This window comes from Homo sapiens, chromosome 5 (assembly GCF_000001405.40).
Source record: "Homo sapiens chromosome 5, GRCh38.p14 Primary Assembly".
In the NCBI taxonomy this organism is placed as follows: domain Eukaryota; kingdom Metazoa; phylum Chordata; class Mammalia; order Primates; family Hominidae; genus Homo; species Homo sapiens.
The window spans coordinates 119,074,166-119,089,813 of record NC_000005.10 but is presented as its reverse complement, the minus strand read 5'-3'; the positions used below and the strand labels follow the sequence as shown (position 1 = coordinate 119,089,813).

At 38.5% G+C, this 15,648-nt stretch overlaps 1 protein-coding gene across 22 annotated transcripts in view, besides 2 other annotated features; it reads right to left on the bottom strand.

Annotated features, from left to right (window-relative positions):
* DMXL1 (Dmx like 1) overlaps nucleotides 1-15,648 on the bottom strand; it is a 178,101-nt gene that overhangs the window by 159,314 nt on the left and 3,139 nt on the right. The window contains exon 2 of one of the 22 annotated variants that reach the window (XM_005271912.3): nucleotides 8,117-8,240. The exons of the other annotated variants lie outside the window; for them this stretch is intronic. The gene's annotated coding sequence lies outside the window, so the exon portion shown is untranslated. The remainder of the gene's footprint in view (nucleotides 1-8,116; nucleotides 8,241-15,648) is intronic. 22 annotated transcript variants of the gene reach the window in all.
* Nucleotides 5,904-5,983: a silencer, noted in NCBI's record as "silent region_16263". NCBI's record gives its function as "represses an Ori minimal core promoter by ATAC-STARR-seq in GM12878 lymphoblastoid cells {active_cell/tissue: GM12878}" and the evidence as "EXISTENCE:reporter gene assay evidence [ECO:0000049][PMID:35858748]".
* Nucleotides 11,452-11,621: an enhancer, noted in NCBI's record as "active region_22959". NCBI's record gives its function as "activates an Ori minimal core promoter by ATAC-STARR-seq in GM12878 lymphoblastoid cells {active_cell/tissue: GM12878}" and the evidence as "EXISTENCE:reporter gene assay evidence [ECO:0000049][PMID:35858748]".

Below are 15,648 nucleotides of genomic sequence, written 5' to 3'. Positions count from 1 at the left end.
TCTCTACTAAAAATACAAAATTAGCTGGGTATGGTGGCGTATGCCTGTAATCCCAGCTACTCAGGAAAGCTGAGCCAGAAGAATTGCTTGAACCCAGGAGGTGGAGGTTGCGGTGAGACAAGATTGCGCCATTGCACACCAGCCTGGGCAACAAGAGTGAAACTCTGTCTCAAAAAAAAAAAAAAAAGGCAGTACCAAAAATGAAGTCGCTGTGCACAAGACTGATGCTTGTAATCCCAGCACTTTGGGAGGCCAAGGTGGGTAGATCACTTGAGGCCAGGAGTTTGAGACCAGCCTGGCCAAAATGGCAAAACCCCATCTCTACTAAAAAAATACAAAAATGAGCAGGGTGTGGTGGTGCGCGCCTGTAATTCCAGCTACTCGGGAGGCTGAGGCATGAAAACTGCTTGAACCCAGGAGGCAGAGGTTGCAGTGAGCTGAGATCGTGCCACTGCACTCTAGCCTGGGTGATGGAATGAGACTCTGTCTCAAAAAAAAAAAAAAAAAAAAAAAAAAAAAAATATATATATATATATGTATATATATATATGCATATATAATGGAGCTCCAATTTGTCTGGCAAAAGATTCATCAAGAGAAACCACATAGGCCAGGAGGGAGCTAGATGACACTTTCAAAATGCTAAAAGACAAAATGTTGTCTTCTATAAATATTGTAGCCAGCAAAGTTATCCTTCTAATATGAAGGAGAGATAAAGTATTTCCCAGACAAAGGGTGACGAAATTCACCACCATTAAGACTTGCAAAAATGCTAAAGGGAGTTCTTCAACATGAAATTAAAAAAACCACTAATATGCAAAAAAAAAATTGTTTTGGAAGATATAAAACTCACTGGAAAAATTAAGTCACAGACAAATCTAGAAGAATACTGTAATTGTGGTGTGTAACCTATTCATAACTCTATTATGAAGCCCAAAAGACAAATCTATCAAAAACAATATCTACAATAACTTTTTAAGAGACAGGCAATATAAAAACAGGCAAATTAAGACAACTGAAAGCCAAAAATGTGAGTATAGCATTTTATTTTTATTTGTTTCTATTCTTTGAGATATAAGCTGTCATACCTTTAAGATAATAACGCACTTCAATAAGATGTTTTATGTGAGCCTCATGGTAGCCACAGTGCCAAAACCAATAATAAATACTTTAAAAATAAACAGTAACAAAGTAAAACACACTAACAGAGAAGAGCATTTAACCACAAAGGATAACAGTAAGAAAGGAAGAGAGGACTAGAAAAACAACCAGAAAAACAACAAAACGCTAGTAGTAAATCCTTACTTACCAATAATACTTTTTTAAAGGCAAAACTCACAATTACTTTTGCAGCAACCTAACAACACAATGTAAAGGGGCTTTATTCTCCCATTAGAAGGCACAGAGTGGCTGAATAAATGAAGAAAAAAGAACCAACTCTATACTGCCCACAAGAAACCCACCTTACCAACAAAAGCATACACAGACTGAAAGTAAAGGGGTGGAAGAAGATATTCCATGCAACTGAAAACCAAAAAATAGCTTGACTAGCTATACTTACATCAGATAAAATACGCTACAAATCAAAGACAGACTATAAAGAGACAAAGATTACTATATAACGATAAAGCAGTCAATCCAGAAATAGTATAAACAATTATAAATATCTCTATCGCCCAACACCAGAGCTCTCAAGCATATAAAGCAAACACTGCTGGGCTTGGTGCCTCACACCTGTAATCCCAGCACTTTGGGAGGCGGAGGCTGGCAGATCACCTGAAGTCAGGAGTTCGAGGCCAGTCTAGCCAACATGGTGAAACCCTGTCTCTACTAAAAATACAAAAATTAGCCAGGCATGGTGGAGGGTGCCTGTAATCCCAGCTACTTGGGAGGCTGAGGCAGGAGAATCACTTGAACCTGGGAGGCAGAGGGTGCAGTTAGCAGAGATAGCGCCATTGCACTCCAGCCTGGGCAACAGAACGAGACTCTGTCTCAAAAAAAAAATAATAAAAATAAAGCAAACATGAATAGATCTAAATAGAATGCAATACAATAACGTAGGAGAATTTAACGCCCCACTCTCAGTAATAGACAGATCTAACAGAAGAATCAACAAAGAACATCAGTTAAACGATACACTAGATCTAATAGGCCTGACATTTAAAGAACACCCACCTAACCGCTGCAGAATATACATTATTTTCATCAGCACATAGACTATTCCCAAGAAGAGACATATCTGAGGTCACAAAACAAGTCTGAACAATTTTTTGAAAAACAGAAATTATATCAAGTACCTTTTCTCACTACAATGGAATAAAACTAGAAATCAGTAAGAAAACCCTTGGAAACTTCACAAATATGCTCCTGAATGACCAATGGATCAATAACAAAATTAAGAAGGAAATTAAAACTTTCTTAAAACAAATGAAAATGGGAATACAACATAACAGAATCTATAGGATACAGCAAAAGCAGTACTAAGAAAAGTTGAAAGCAATAAATGCTTACATTAAAAAAGCAGAAAAAAGAAAAAAAGTAGAAAGACTTCAAATAACCTAATAATGCACCTCAAGGAACTTGAAAAACAAGAACAAATCAAACCCAAATTTGTATGAAGAAAAAATAAAGATCAGAGCATAAATAAATGAAATAGAGACAAAAAAAAAGATCAATGAAATGAAACTTTTTAATGAAAAGTTACAATCAACAAAACTGTGGCTTGACTAAGCAAAAAAGAGAAGACCCAAGTAAGTAACAAATTAAATAGAAGACAAAACAACTAGATCAAAGAACTAAAAAGAATCCTTATGAACAACCATATACCAGCAAATTCAATAAAATCCAGAAGTGAGTGGATAAATTCCTGGACACATACAACCTACCAAGATTGAACCATAAGGAAATAGAAAACCTCACCAAATCAATAATGAGTAATGAGATGGAAGCCATAATAAAAAGTATCTTATCAAAGAAAAGCTCAGGACCTATGGCTTCACTGCTGAATTCTATCAAACATTTAAAGAACTAATACCAACTCTACTCAAACTCTTCAAAAAAAATTCAAAACCTCAACAAATCAATAATGAGTAATGAGATGGAAGCCATAATAAAAAGTATTTTATCAAAGAAAAGCTCAGGACCTGATGGTTTCACTGCTGAATTCTATCAAACATTTAAAGAAGAACTAACACCAATTCTACTCAAACTCTTCAAAAAAACTGAAGAGAAAGGAAGACTTCCAAACTCATCCTATGAGACCAGCATTATCCTGACACCAAAACCAGACAAAGCAACAACAACAACAAAAAACTACAAGCCCATATCACACATGAAGACAGATACAAAAATTCTCAATAAAATACCTGCAAACCAAATTGAACAACACATTAAAAGATCATTCACCATGATAAAGTGGCATTCATCCCAGGGACCCAAGGATGGTTCAACATATGTGATATGGTTTGGCTCTGTGTCCCCACCCAAATCTCATCTTGAATGGTACTCCCATAATTTCCATGTGTTGTGGAAGGGACCAGGTGGGAGATAATTGAATCATGGGGGCGGTTTACCCCATACTGTTTTCACGGTAGTGAATAAGTCTCACGAGATCTGATGGTTTCATAAGGGGAAACCCATTTTGCTTGGCTCTCATTCTCTCTCTTGCCATTGCCATGTGAGATGTGCCTTTCACCTTCAGCCATGATTGTGAGGCCTCCCCAGTCATATGGAACTCTAAGTCCAATAAACCTCTTTTGTAACTTGCTCAGTCTTGGGTATGTCTTTATCAGCAGCATGAAGAGACTAATACAATATGTAAATCAATAAACGTGATATATCACCTTAACAGAACCAAGAACAAAAACCATATGATAGTTTCAATAGATCCTGGAAAAGCATTTGATAAAATTCAACATCCCTTTATGATAAAAACCCTCAACAAACTGGGCATAGGAGGAACATTCCTCACAATAATAAAGATTATTTATGAAAAACCCATAGCTAACGTCATTCTAAATAGGGAAAAACTGAAGATTTTTCCTCTAAGATATGGAACAAGAATGCCGACTTTCACCACTTTTATTCAGTATAGTACTAGAAGTCCTGGCCAGAGCAGTTAAGCAAGAGAAAAAAATAAAGGGTAACCAAATTGGAAAGGAAGAAGTCAAATTAGCCTTGTTCACAAATGATATGATTGTATACTCAGAACAGCCTTAAGATTGCACCAAAAAAACCTGTTAGAACGGATGAACAAATTCAGTAAAATTCCAGGATGCAAAATCAACATACAAAAATCAGCAGCATTTCTATACATCAATGGTGTATAGAATAGCATACACCATTGTATGCTCACCAATGGCGAGCAATCTTACAAAGAAATCAGAAAGCAATCCCATTACAATAGCTACGAAGAACAGAAAAAATCCAGAATTAATTATTATTATTATATTTATTTATTTATTTATTTATTTATTTATTTTTGAGACAAAGTCTCACTCTGTTGCCCAGGCTGGAGTGCAGTGGCACCAATCTTGGTTCACTGCAGCCTCTGCCTCCCGGGTTCAAGCGATTCTCACGCCTCAGTCTCACGAGTAGCTAGGACTACAGGTGCACACCACCATGCCTGGCTAATTTTTTTGTATTTTTAATAGAGACGGGGTTTCACCATGCTGGCTAGGGTGATCTTGAACTCTTGGCCTCATGTGATCTGCCCTCCTCAGCCTCCCAAAGTGATGAGATTACAGGAGTGAGCCCCTGTGACCAGCTGGAATTAATTTAACCAAAGAAGTGAAAGATTTGTACAAGGAAAACTATAAAACTCTGATGAAAGAAATTGATGCAGACACACAAAAAATGGAAAGATATTCCATGCTCATGGATTGGAAGAATTAATATTGTTAAAATGACCACACAGAAGACAATTTTAGGATCTTTTTTTTTTTTTTTTTGAGACGGAGTTTCACTCTTGTTGCCCAGGGTGGAGTGCAATGGCGTGATCTTGGCTCACCACAACCTCCACCTCCCAGGTTCAAGCAATTCTCCTGCCTCGCCTCCCGAGTAGCCGGAATTACAGGCATGTGCCACCACGCCGGGCTAATTTTGTATTTTTAGTAGAGATGGGGTTTTTCCATGTTGGTCACATGCTGGTCTCGAACTCACAGCCTCAGATGATCCACCCGCCTCAGCCTCCCAAAGTGCTAGGATTACAAGCATGAGCCACAGCACCCAGCCAAGGATCGTTTTTTCCATTTCTGTGAAGAGTATTTTTGGTATTCTGATACAGATTACATTCTTCAAAGAAATAGAAAAAAATGACCCTAAAATTTAGGTGGAGCCACAAACACCCCAAATAGCCAAAACAATTTTAAGCAAAAAGAACGCTTTTGGGGAAAAGGTCAGGCACAGTGGCTCACGCCTGAAATCCCAACATTTTGGGAGGCTGAGGCAGGTGAATCACTTGAGGTCAGGAGTTCGAGACCAGCCTGGCCAAAATGGCAAAACCCCGTCTCTACTATAAATACAAAAATTAGCCGGGCATGATGGTGTGCACCTGTAATCCCAGCTACCTGGAGGTTGAGGCAGGAGAATTGCTTCAACCCAGGAGGCAGAGGTTGCAGGGAGCCAAGAATGAGCCACCACACTCCAGCCTGGGCAACAGCACAAGACTCCGTCTTAAAAAAAAAAGGGGTGAGGGGGGGAATACATGAACAGACATTTCTAAAAAGAAGACATACAAATGGCCAACAGGTATATGAAAAAATGTTCAACATCACAAATCATCAGGAAAATGCAAATAAAAACTATAAACATATATCATCTCACCCCAGTTAAAATGGCTTTTAACAAGAAGACTGGAAATAGCAGATGTTCTCAAAAATGCAGAGAAAGGAGAACCCTGGTACTGTGTTGGTGGGAATGTAAATTAGTAAAACCACTACAGATAACTGTATGCAGGTTCTCAAAAACCTAAAAACTGGTCAGGCACGGTGGCTCAGGGCTGTAATGCCAGCATTTTGGGAGGCCAAGGCAGGCGGATCACCTGAGGCCAGGAGTTTGAGACCAGCCTGTCTCACATAAAACCCCATCTCTACTAAAAACACAAAAATTAGCCAGGCGTGGTGGCACACACCTGTAATCCCAGCTACTCCGAGGCAGAGGCAGGAGAATCGCTTGAACCTAGGAAGCAGAGGTTGCAGTGAGCCAAGGTTGTGTCACTGCACTCCAGCCTGGGCAACAGAGCAAGACTCTATCTCAAAAAATCCAAAAACCTAATAACTGAACAACCGTATGATCCAGCAATTCCATTACTGGGTATATATGCAAAAGAATGAAATTCAGTACATCAAAAAGACATCTATGTGCCCATGTTTTTGCAGCACTATTCACAGTACCCAAGATAATAAAATCAACCTGAGTGCCCATCAGTGGATGAAAAAAATGTAGTATATGTACACAATGAAATATTATTCAGCCATTAAAAAGAATGAAATCCTGCCATTTGCAGCAACAAGGATGGAACTACACTTTGGGAAGTCAAGGTGGGCAGATCACTTGAGGCCAGGAGTTTGAGACCAGCCTGGTCAACATGGCGAAACCCATCTCTACTAAAAAATATATATGTGTGTATATACAAAATTAGCCAGGCATGGTGACACATGCCTGTAATCACAGCTACTGGGGAGGCTGAGGCACAACAATCGCCTGAACCTGGGAAGCAGAGGTTGCAGTGAGCCAAGATCATGCCACTGCATTCCAGCCTTTTTGAGACTCTGACAAAACAAACAAACAAACAATAAAAAGGATGGAACTGGAGGTCATTCTAAGTGACATAAGCCAAGCTCAGAAAGACAAATATATCACATGTTCTCATTCATATGTGGGAGCTACAAAAGTGGATCTCATAAAGAGCAGACTGATGGTTACCAGAGGGCTAAGGAGGTTGGGGGAGACGATGAAGAGAAGTTGAATAATTGGAACTAATAAACGGTTTGATGGAAGTCATAAGACCTAGTGTTGGACAGATCACTACTGTAAATGTAGTTTACAATAATCTATTGTATATTTCAAAACAGCTAGACGAATTCAAATAGTTCTAGCATAAACACAAATATTTAAGGTGCTGGATATGCCAAGTACAGTGATTTAATCTTCACAAATTATATGAATGTATTAAATTATCACATTTACTTTGAAAGCATGTACATCTATTAGGCATCAATTAAAAAATAAAATAAGGCCAGGCATGGCAGCTCACATCTATAAATAATCCCAGCACTCTGGGAGGCCAATGTGGGAGGATTGCTTGAGCCCAGGAGTTCACGACCAGTCTGGGTAATACAGTGAGACCCCACTCTACAAAAAATTTTAAAAATTAGCCAGGCATGGTGGGACATGCCTGTCGTCCCAGCTACTTGGGACACTGCGGTGGGAGGATCTACTTGAGCCAAGGAAGTTGAAGCTACAGTGAGCTGAGTTCACACTATTGCACTCCAACCTGGGCAACAGAGTGAGACCCTGTCTCTAAAAAAATAAAATAAGCCAGGCATGGTGGCACATGTCTGTAGTCCCAGCTACTCAAGAGGCTGAGGTAGCATGACTGTTTAAACTCAAGAGTTTGAGGCTGCAGTGAGTTACGACTGCGCCACTACACTGCAGCCTGGGAAACACTGTAAGACTCTGTCTCTAAAAAAAATTAAAAATAAATAAAATAAAAATTGATTTTATAAAACATTCTAAGAACATGTATATACGTGTATGTGTGTGTGTGTGTGTGTGTGTGTGTGTGTGTGTGTATATATATATATATATATATATAACCTTAAGAAAACTTCCTCTGGGAAATAGTTATGACAGTCAGCAATCAATTCAGACAACAATAAAATCAGGCTCCTGAAGGGCAAGAATCATGTTTATTCGTAATTCTTTCTCATATTTTTAGATAGCAGGACCCCAAATGCAGTAAAAACTCAATTTTTATTTCCAAAGGAACTCTTTTCTTAAAACCTTTATAACTTATGGCCAAAAACTACCTTCAAATACACGTAAGAACAAAATTCTCCATGCACAGTCTCAATTTGTCCCCATTAGTTAAAACGAAAAGGTTAAGCAAGGGTACCTCTGGTTAAAATTGGTAAAGTCTAAGTTGGTCTTCAATCTTTGTTTCTGCGGCTCTATATCTTCTTCACATTAACTTCTCATCTACACTTCTTGCATCCAACACTTAGGAGTTCTTATTCCTCCTATAAAAACAAAACTTAACCAGAAGCCAACTATATATACCTGTTAATTGACTTAAGTGTGAAGATGTTTGAGTCAAAGTATGTTCTCAAGCAGTTTTTACACATTAAAATATGTTTTATTTTAAAAAGGTTCTGACTCAGGTAAAGATTTTAGCTACCAATAAACAATGCCTCGCACACATATGGCATCAATAAATGTTAGTTAAATGAATCAAGGAAGAGTGCTATTTCTGTGGGGAGTGAATAGAAAGCTGAAATGACACTTTCTTACCCTAAGGCCTTCCAAGAAGTCATCTGGATTTGACTTTTTGAGGATTTTAAGCTGGGAGTGAAGAAGGGGAGGCAGCCCAAACGCAGCTGTCTTCTTTGCCTTGCCCAGAACAGACAGCTTAGTCCTTGGAGCTCTTCTGACTCCAGCACAGGTTTTCTTTGTCCCATTTGTCCTCATGTATTTACTAGGCCCTACCTTGCCAGCTGTTTGGAATGCAATATGAAGTCACTGTCCCTAGAGGTAGTACAATTCTAGTGGGTAACATCTGAAAAAGGAATTATAAGATAGGCTACAAATAGGAAGATCATCTAGTCTGACTAGGGACATCAAAACCAAGCCTTTAGGGATGAGTTAGCCAGATTTACATCTTTTTTGCCTAGGGAGGGGTAATTGAAAAGTTTCCTGAAGAGCTTGTGAAATGGCTTGAAAATAAGAAAGCGTTTCTTACTGTGTAAATGGAAAGACGTTAGATATAGCTACAGTTTAGGGAGGCAGCTATTACAGAGAGGAGGAAAAGTGATGAGAGACTAGAAAAGTACAGTAAAATGCATTGGGAAGAATTCATACCTTATCCTAATCTGCCTTTTAAAATGATTCCCTCTGGCAATATTGTTTAAGTTGAAGACAAGTATGATTAAATACAGGGACAGAGGTTAAAAGGCTATTTCAACAGAGTAACTGCACTACTGAAAAGACAAGTGGAAATATATTAAAATTACTCAGGAGACAGAATCTACAGGGCTTGATTGATTGTATAAGAAAAATGTGGGAGGATTAGGTGTTAAGGATATTTCCAAATCTTTGGCTTAAAAAAAACCAGCTGGATAATGGAACCATTCACAGAGATAATGAACACAGGAGGACGAACAAAACAAATTGGGGTGTGGGTTGGAAGGTGCACCAAGGTAGGGGAGTTGACTGAGTATAGAACACTTTATTTTACTTATATTATTTTTGAGACGAAGTCTTGCTCTGTCGCCCAGGATGGAGTGCAGCGAGACAATCTTGGCTCACTGCAACCTCTGCCTCCTAGGTTCAAGCAATTATCCTGCCTCAACCTCCCGAGTAGCTGAGATCATAGGCACCCACCACCACACCTGGCTAATTTTTTGTATTTTTAGTAGAAACAGGTTTCATCATGTTGGCCAGGCTGGCCTAGAACTCCTGACCTCAAGCAATCCACCCGCCTCAGCCTCCCAAAGTGCTGGGATTACAGGCGTGCAGAACATTTTAAAATTGATTATTTGTAGCAACTTCAAGTGGAACAATCCAAGAGGTATTTAAAATTATCAATATGAAGCTAAAGACAGGGATCTCACCATCACAGACTATACACCAGGAGCTGCATGTAGAATGAAACGAGAAGAGGACCAAGGCCTGGTAGGCCTGACGGTCACCAATATTTAAGGGACAGACAAGAAAGATATCTTGCAAAGAACACTGAGAATGACTAAGAGGGTGGGGTTGGGGGCGAGTATGGTATAACTAAGCCAAGGAAAGTGAAGGAAAAAATGATCAACATGACAAATGCCAAAGAGAAAGCAAGGTACAAAGGAGATCTGTTGATTCAAATTAGCATCAATGTGGTTACCAGTGACTAAGGAGAAAATGATCAACATGACAAATGCCAAAGAGAAAGCAAGGTACAAAGGAGATCTGTTGATTCAAATTAGCATCAATGTGGTTACCAGTGACTAAGGAGAAAAAAGCTGCCAAAGTATAGTGAGTTAAGAAGTGAGCAGGACATAAAAGTGGCAACAAATACAGACAATTCAAGGACTTTGAAGTCAAAGATAAAGAGGGATGTGGCAGCAAAGGATTTTCAGGTTGGCTGTTTTTCAAGATGAGAATTTTAAGCATGTTTTAGAAACTCTGGAAAGAAAAAAGTAGAGATAACTTTAGGGCTGAGCTCCCAGAGACAGCCTGAATAGATAAGATCCACGGCACCAAGAAGACTGATTAACCCTGGACAATTCTGGGGGACATTTATTTTATTGTACCAGGAGGAGAGAAGGAAAGAATGGATGCTGATATAAGTGGATTTTTCAGCTTGTAGTCAAAAATGAGGGAGCTGCCATCTGAATGATTCCAGGTGGCAAGTTTATATGAGTTAAGAGAGCACTGGGATGGGAGGTTTCAGAAGGTACAAGAAAGGAAAAATGAGCAGACTGGTGGGAGGATTCCTGGAAAGCTTTGAGGTCCCATTTGAGGTTGGCAAACATGACTTTATTTTCCACAGGAATTTCTTTACATAGTCTAGTAGTGCTCATGAGATATACAGGAACAAGAAAGAACATGAGACTGATCAAGTGTGTGGAATTTCATCAGACTGGCGCAAACAAAAAGGGTCCAGACAGTTAAAGGATACTGGCAACAAAGACTGTTGCTAAATTAACTCATGCTAAATTATATAAATTGTAAAGTTAAAATGTGTAGCAATAACGGTGAAACAACAGGTAATAAGGTCAAGAATTAAAGTCTGATTTCCATATAGTTATCTTCATCTTGCAACACAGGCATGATAGGAACTCCTTGATCTGAATATCTCACAGACTGGGTGCAGTGGGTCATGTCTGTAATCCCAGCATTTTGAGAGGCCAAGGTGGGAGGATCACTGGAGCCCAGGAGTTTGAGACCAGCCTGGGCAACATAGTGGGACCCCATCTCCGCATAAAATAAAAAATTAGCTGGGCATGGTGTGGCACACACCTGTGGTCCCAGCTACTTGGGAGACTGAAGTGGGAAGACTGATTGAGCCTAGGAGATTGAGGCTGCAGTGAGCTGTGATCCCACAACTGCACTCCAGCCTGTGTGACAGAGCAAGACTCTGTCTCAAAAAAATAAATAAAATAAATATCTCACAAATATGTGCTAAGAACAGAGGCATCAGTGGCTGGACAAATAATTCAAGCTCCAAGTCCATATAAATGGTCTCATTTCTAAAAGAAAAGGGCATACTAAATCTCCAGTTTCAATGTTCTCCTTAATACTAGAAAGTTTGTGAAAATAAAAGTGAAAATATGAGCCAGGTGCAGCAGCACAGGCTTGTAGTCCCAGCTACTTGGAAGGCTGAGGCAGTAGGATCACTTGAGGCCAGAAGTTCCAGACTAGCCCTGGCAACACAGCAAGACCTCATCTTTAAAAACTTGTTTTAAATAAATAAATGAAACAGAATGGGCTGTGCATGATTTTAAAATAATCCTTGTACCACTAAATTCTTAAATAAAAAATAATCCGTCTACCTGATTTTAAATAAAAACCTAAAACATCCCAGGCATGGTGGTTCACACCTGTAATCCCAGCACTTTGGGAGGCTGAGGCAGGTGGACTGCTTGAGCTCAGGAATTTGAAAACAGCCTGGGTTACATGGAGAGACCCTATCTGTACTTAAAAAATATATACGTGTGTGTGTGTGTATATATATCTACACACACACACACACGTATATATACACACACACACACGTATATATTTTTTAAGTACAGATAGGGTCTCGCCAGGTAAGTACAGATATACACACACACACACACACACACACACACACACACTTAAAAAATAAATGTATATATGTACACATACATATATTTTTAAGTGTATATATACACATACACACACACACACACACACATATATATACACACACACATATACAAAAAAAAAAAAAAAAAGCCAGGAATGGTGGCACGTGTCTGTGGTCCCAGCCACGTGGGAGGATCGCTTCAGGCCAGGAGGCAGAGGCTGCAGTGAGCTGAGATCCACTGTACTCCAGCCTGGGTGACAGAGTGAGACCCTGTCTTAAAAAAAAAAAAAAAAAAAAAAAAAACCTAAGATGAAGATGTAATACAATACATGAAACTTCTAAATCAAAATGTAAAACTGGTTTTACAGATGTCTAAAATAAATTATTCACAAAAACTCATTTCAAGGTGCCCTGACTATAATATAGAAGGTTATCAAAACAATAATAGCAGCACTGGCTTATCAAATAAACTGTCGATGTCACCAGCTGCTTCTGTCAAAAGATCTATAATCACTGGGCACAGTGGGGCACACCTGTAATCACAGGGAGGCTCACCTGAGCCCAGGAGTTCCAAACCAGTCTGGGCAATATAACAAGATCCTGCCTCAAAAAAATAAAATAAAATAGCACTGGGCCTGTTGGTTCATCCCTGTAATCCCAGCACTTTGGGAGGCCAAGATGGGAGGATCACTTGAGGCCAGGAGTTCCTGGTCATGCCTGGTCAATACAGTGAGACCCCCATCTCTTTTTATTTAAAAATGTTTTAATTAAAAAATAATAAAAGATCTGTAATCAGAATAATCTATTACTAACCAATAAAATTAAATTGACAAATGAAAATCCTTCTATTAGGCACATACAACATTAGGTTTATCAACTTTAAGAATAAACACGATGCACAGGAAGAATTGAGTCACATGTGTGCTATCAAGCATATAATCAAAATATAACTTTCAACTTTAAATTTTGGCAGAGAATCTTCTCAAATATTCTAAATTTCAATAAAATTCAAGGCTGTAACAGTCAGTATTCTAGTTTTAATCAACAAAACCAGGTAAACACCCCCAAAGAATTCCTTTCTGGTATATGTCCTATTTAAATGACATAGGTTTTAAGTTTGGCATGCAGCAATTCTTATCTTTAAAATATAATAAAGTATTGAGAACTACTATCATTTCAATGATTTTAAAGGTACTTAAACACTGTAAAACTTTATGTTTTAAAACAGGCCAACATATTTTGAAGTCCACTTTAGTACTTGCAATATTTTATGCACCACAAACACCTTTCTCTTTCTTCACATGTGAATAGTAGCAATCTTTGCCCTTCTATATTCTCCCCACCAAAAAAGATTCACATGCCCCCTTTCAGAAAAAAAAAACAAACACCTTCCCATCCTCCCAATTTGGCAATTACACTTCTACCAATAAAGGTTTCCTTAAAGTAAACAAAACAGAGCTAAACTCAAGGATGCTTATTACAGAAAGCTGAAGACGACTACTTATTCAGCCCTATTTCTCTAATGACACTCACATAATTACAGTCTTTTGATTTCTAATCTAGATTCCCTTAGCTAGAAACACTGAGTTTTCTAATACTAAAGGGAAATTGGAGCTATAACATATTTGCTTTCCCTCCCATAGCTAAGATGTTTAAGTTCCAAATCAGAGACAGTTAGTCTTATATATTGGTACAATCTTTCTGTCTCTTGGAAATTATCTCCCTTTCCATATCATTCAAATCACAGTTTCAACCCTAAGTATAGATAAACCACAAAAGAAAAAGAAAAAAAAAGTATCATATCAATAGTATGCATAAAAGTAGAATCTATAAATGTAGATTCTAATTAACTAGTCTTCTTTTTAACTTGTTGCCTTTTATAAACAGAATACATTTAATTCTAAAAGCAAAAATTGCAGGGTGGACATGGCAGCTCACGTCTGTAATCCCAGCAGCCTGGGAGGCCAAGGCGGGAGGATCACTTGAGCCCAGGAGTTAGACATCAGCCTGGGCAACATAAGGAGACCCCAGCCTCCATTTTTTTTTGTTTTTTTTTTAAAAAAGACCAGATTTCTCACATACTAAGATCAGTAGGAAATTAACAAGGAAAAAGGCATGAAGGAAGCATTCCAGTAAATAAGGAAAAAATAAATAATTTTTGCTTAGCATACCTAAAGTCTCCCCTAGTTGCTCACTTGTTGATGATAAAATGCCTAACAACTGACTTTGAAAAAGAAACTAACAGGCAGGGCGCGGTGGCTCACGCCTGTAATCCCAGTACGTGGGGAGGCCGAGGTGGGCGGATCATTTGAGGTGAGGAGTTCAAGACCAGCCTGGCCAACATGATGAAACCCGTCTCTACTAAAAACACAAAAATTAGCTGGGCGTGGTGGTGTGCGCCTGTAATCCCAGCTGCTTGGGAGGCAGAGGCACGAGAACAGCTTGAACCCGGGAGGCGGAGGTTGCAGTGAGCTGAGATCACACCACTGCACTCTAGCCTGGGTGATAGAGTGATACTCAGTCTCCAAAAAAAAAAAAAAAGAAAAAAAAAGAAACTAACAGGAATATTTTATTTGGACTCAAATCTAAATGATTAAAGCTATTTTTAAATGTAGCAATTAATATTTATATTACTATAAGGTTTCTCTATCCATTTTTCATTAATTCAACCACGATTTATGAAGTACTTTCTATTGTTAGGCATTACAATAAATATAACCTTAATTTTATGAAAACTGACATTTTTGAGAGTTTTACATGTGCTAAACCATGGACTTACAGCTTAGCACTTTTTCATGTAGCAACTCTATGAATAATACTCTTTTAGTCCCATTTTACAGAAGAGAAAAAAAGAAATTCCAAGAGTATAACTTGCTAATGGATAAACAGCTAATTAAAAGGGACCACATTGGAAATCAACTCCAAGTAATGACCTTACTGTTAGGTTTAAACACTCTTTCAATCACTGTTCTAGGTGCTCACAATGAAGCGTGGGAAGTCATACACATACAATCCACAAGGCAAGACTGGTTAATGATAGAATAAAGATGCAAAGAAAGTGCTCTGAAAGCACAGGAGAGATGGTCATTGCCCACAAGAGGTTTTCTTACTAAGAGCAAAGTCAAAACAGCTTGATGCCTGATGAGGTAGTAAAAAAGTATCTAATACTTAAATAGACTAATCTGCGTTGGTAATTTCATATTTTCAAATCTAGAAAATAGGAGAAGTGGCATTCAGTTTCATTTCCATTTAAAACCTGTCAGGCTTTATGAGTAAAACAAGATCTCACATCTTGTAATCTTTCAAACCAAGAACACGTAAGTTATCTGCAAACATGCAAAGGGAGGAATTACAAAAGCAGGACTGTCCTAAAAGAAAACACAAAGTACCAAAAGGAATAAAAGAATTTTTCAAGGGGAACTGCAAGAGGAAGATGTCATGCTCCACTTCAAGTAAAATGCAACTGAGGGATATTTTAGTCTTCACATACCATCTACCATTAATGTTTACTATTTTCCTATCAAAGAAAAGTCAAAATCAAAAAAGGTTAAAAACAACACTCAAGGCTGGGTGCAGTGGCTCCCGCCTGTAATCCCAGCACTTTGGGAGGCCAAGAC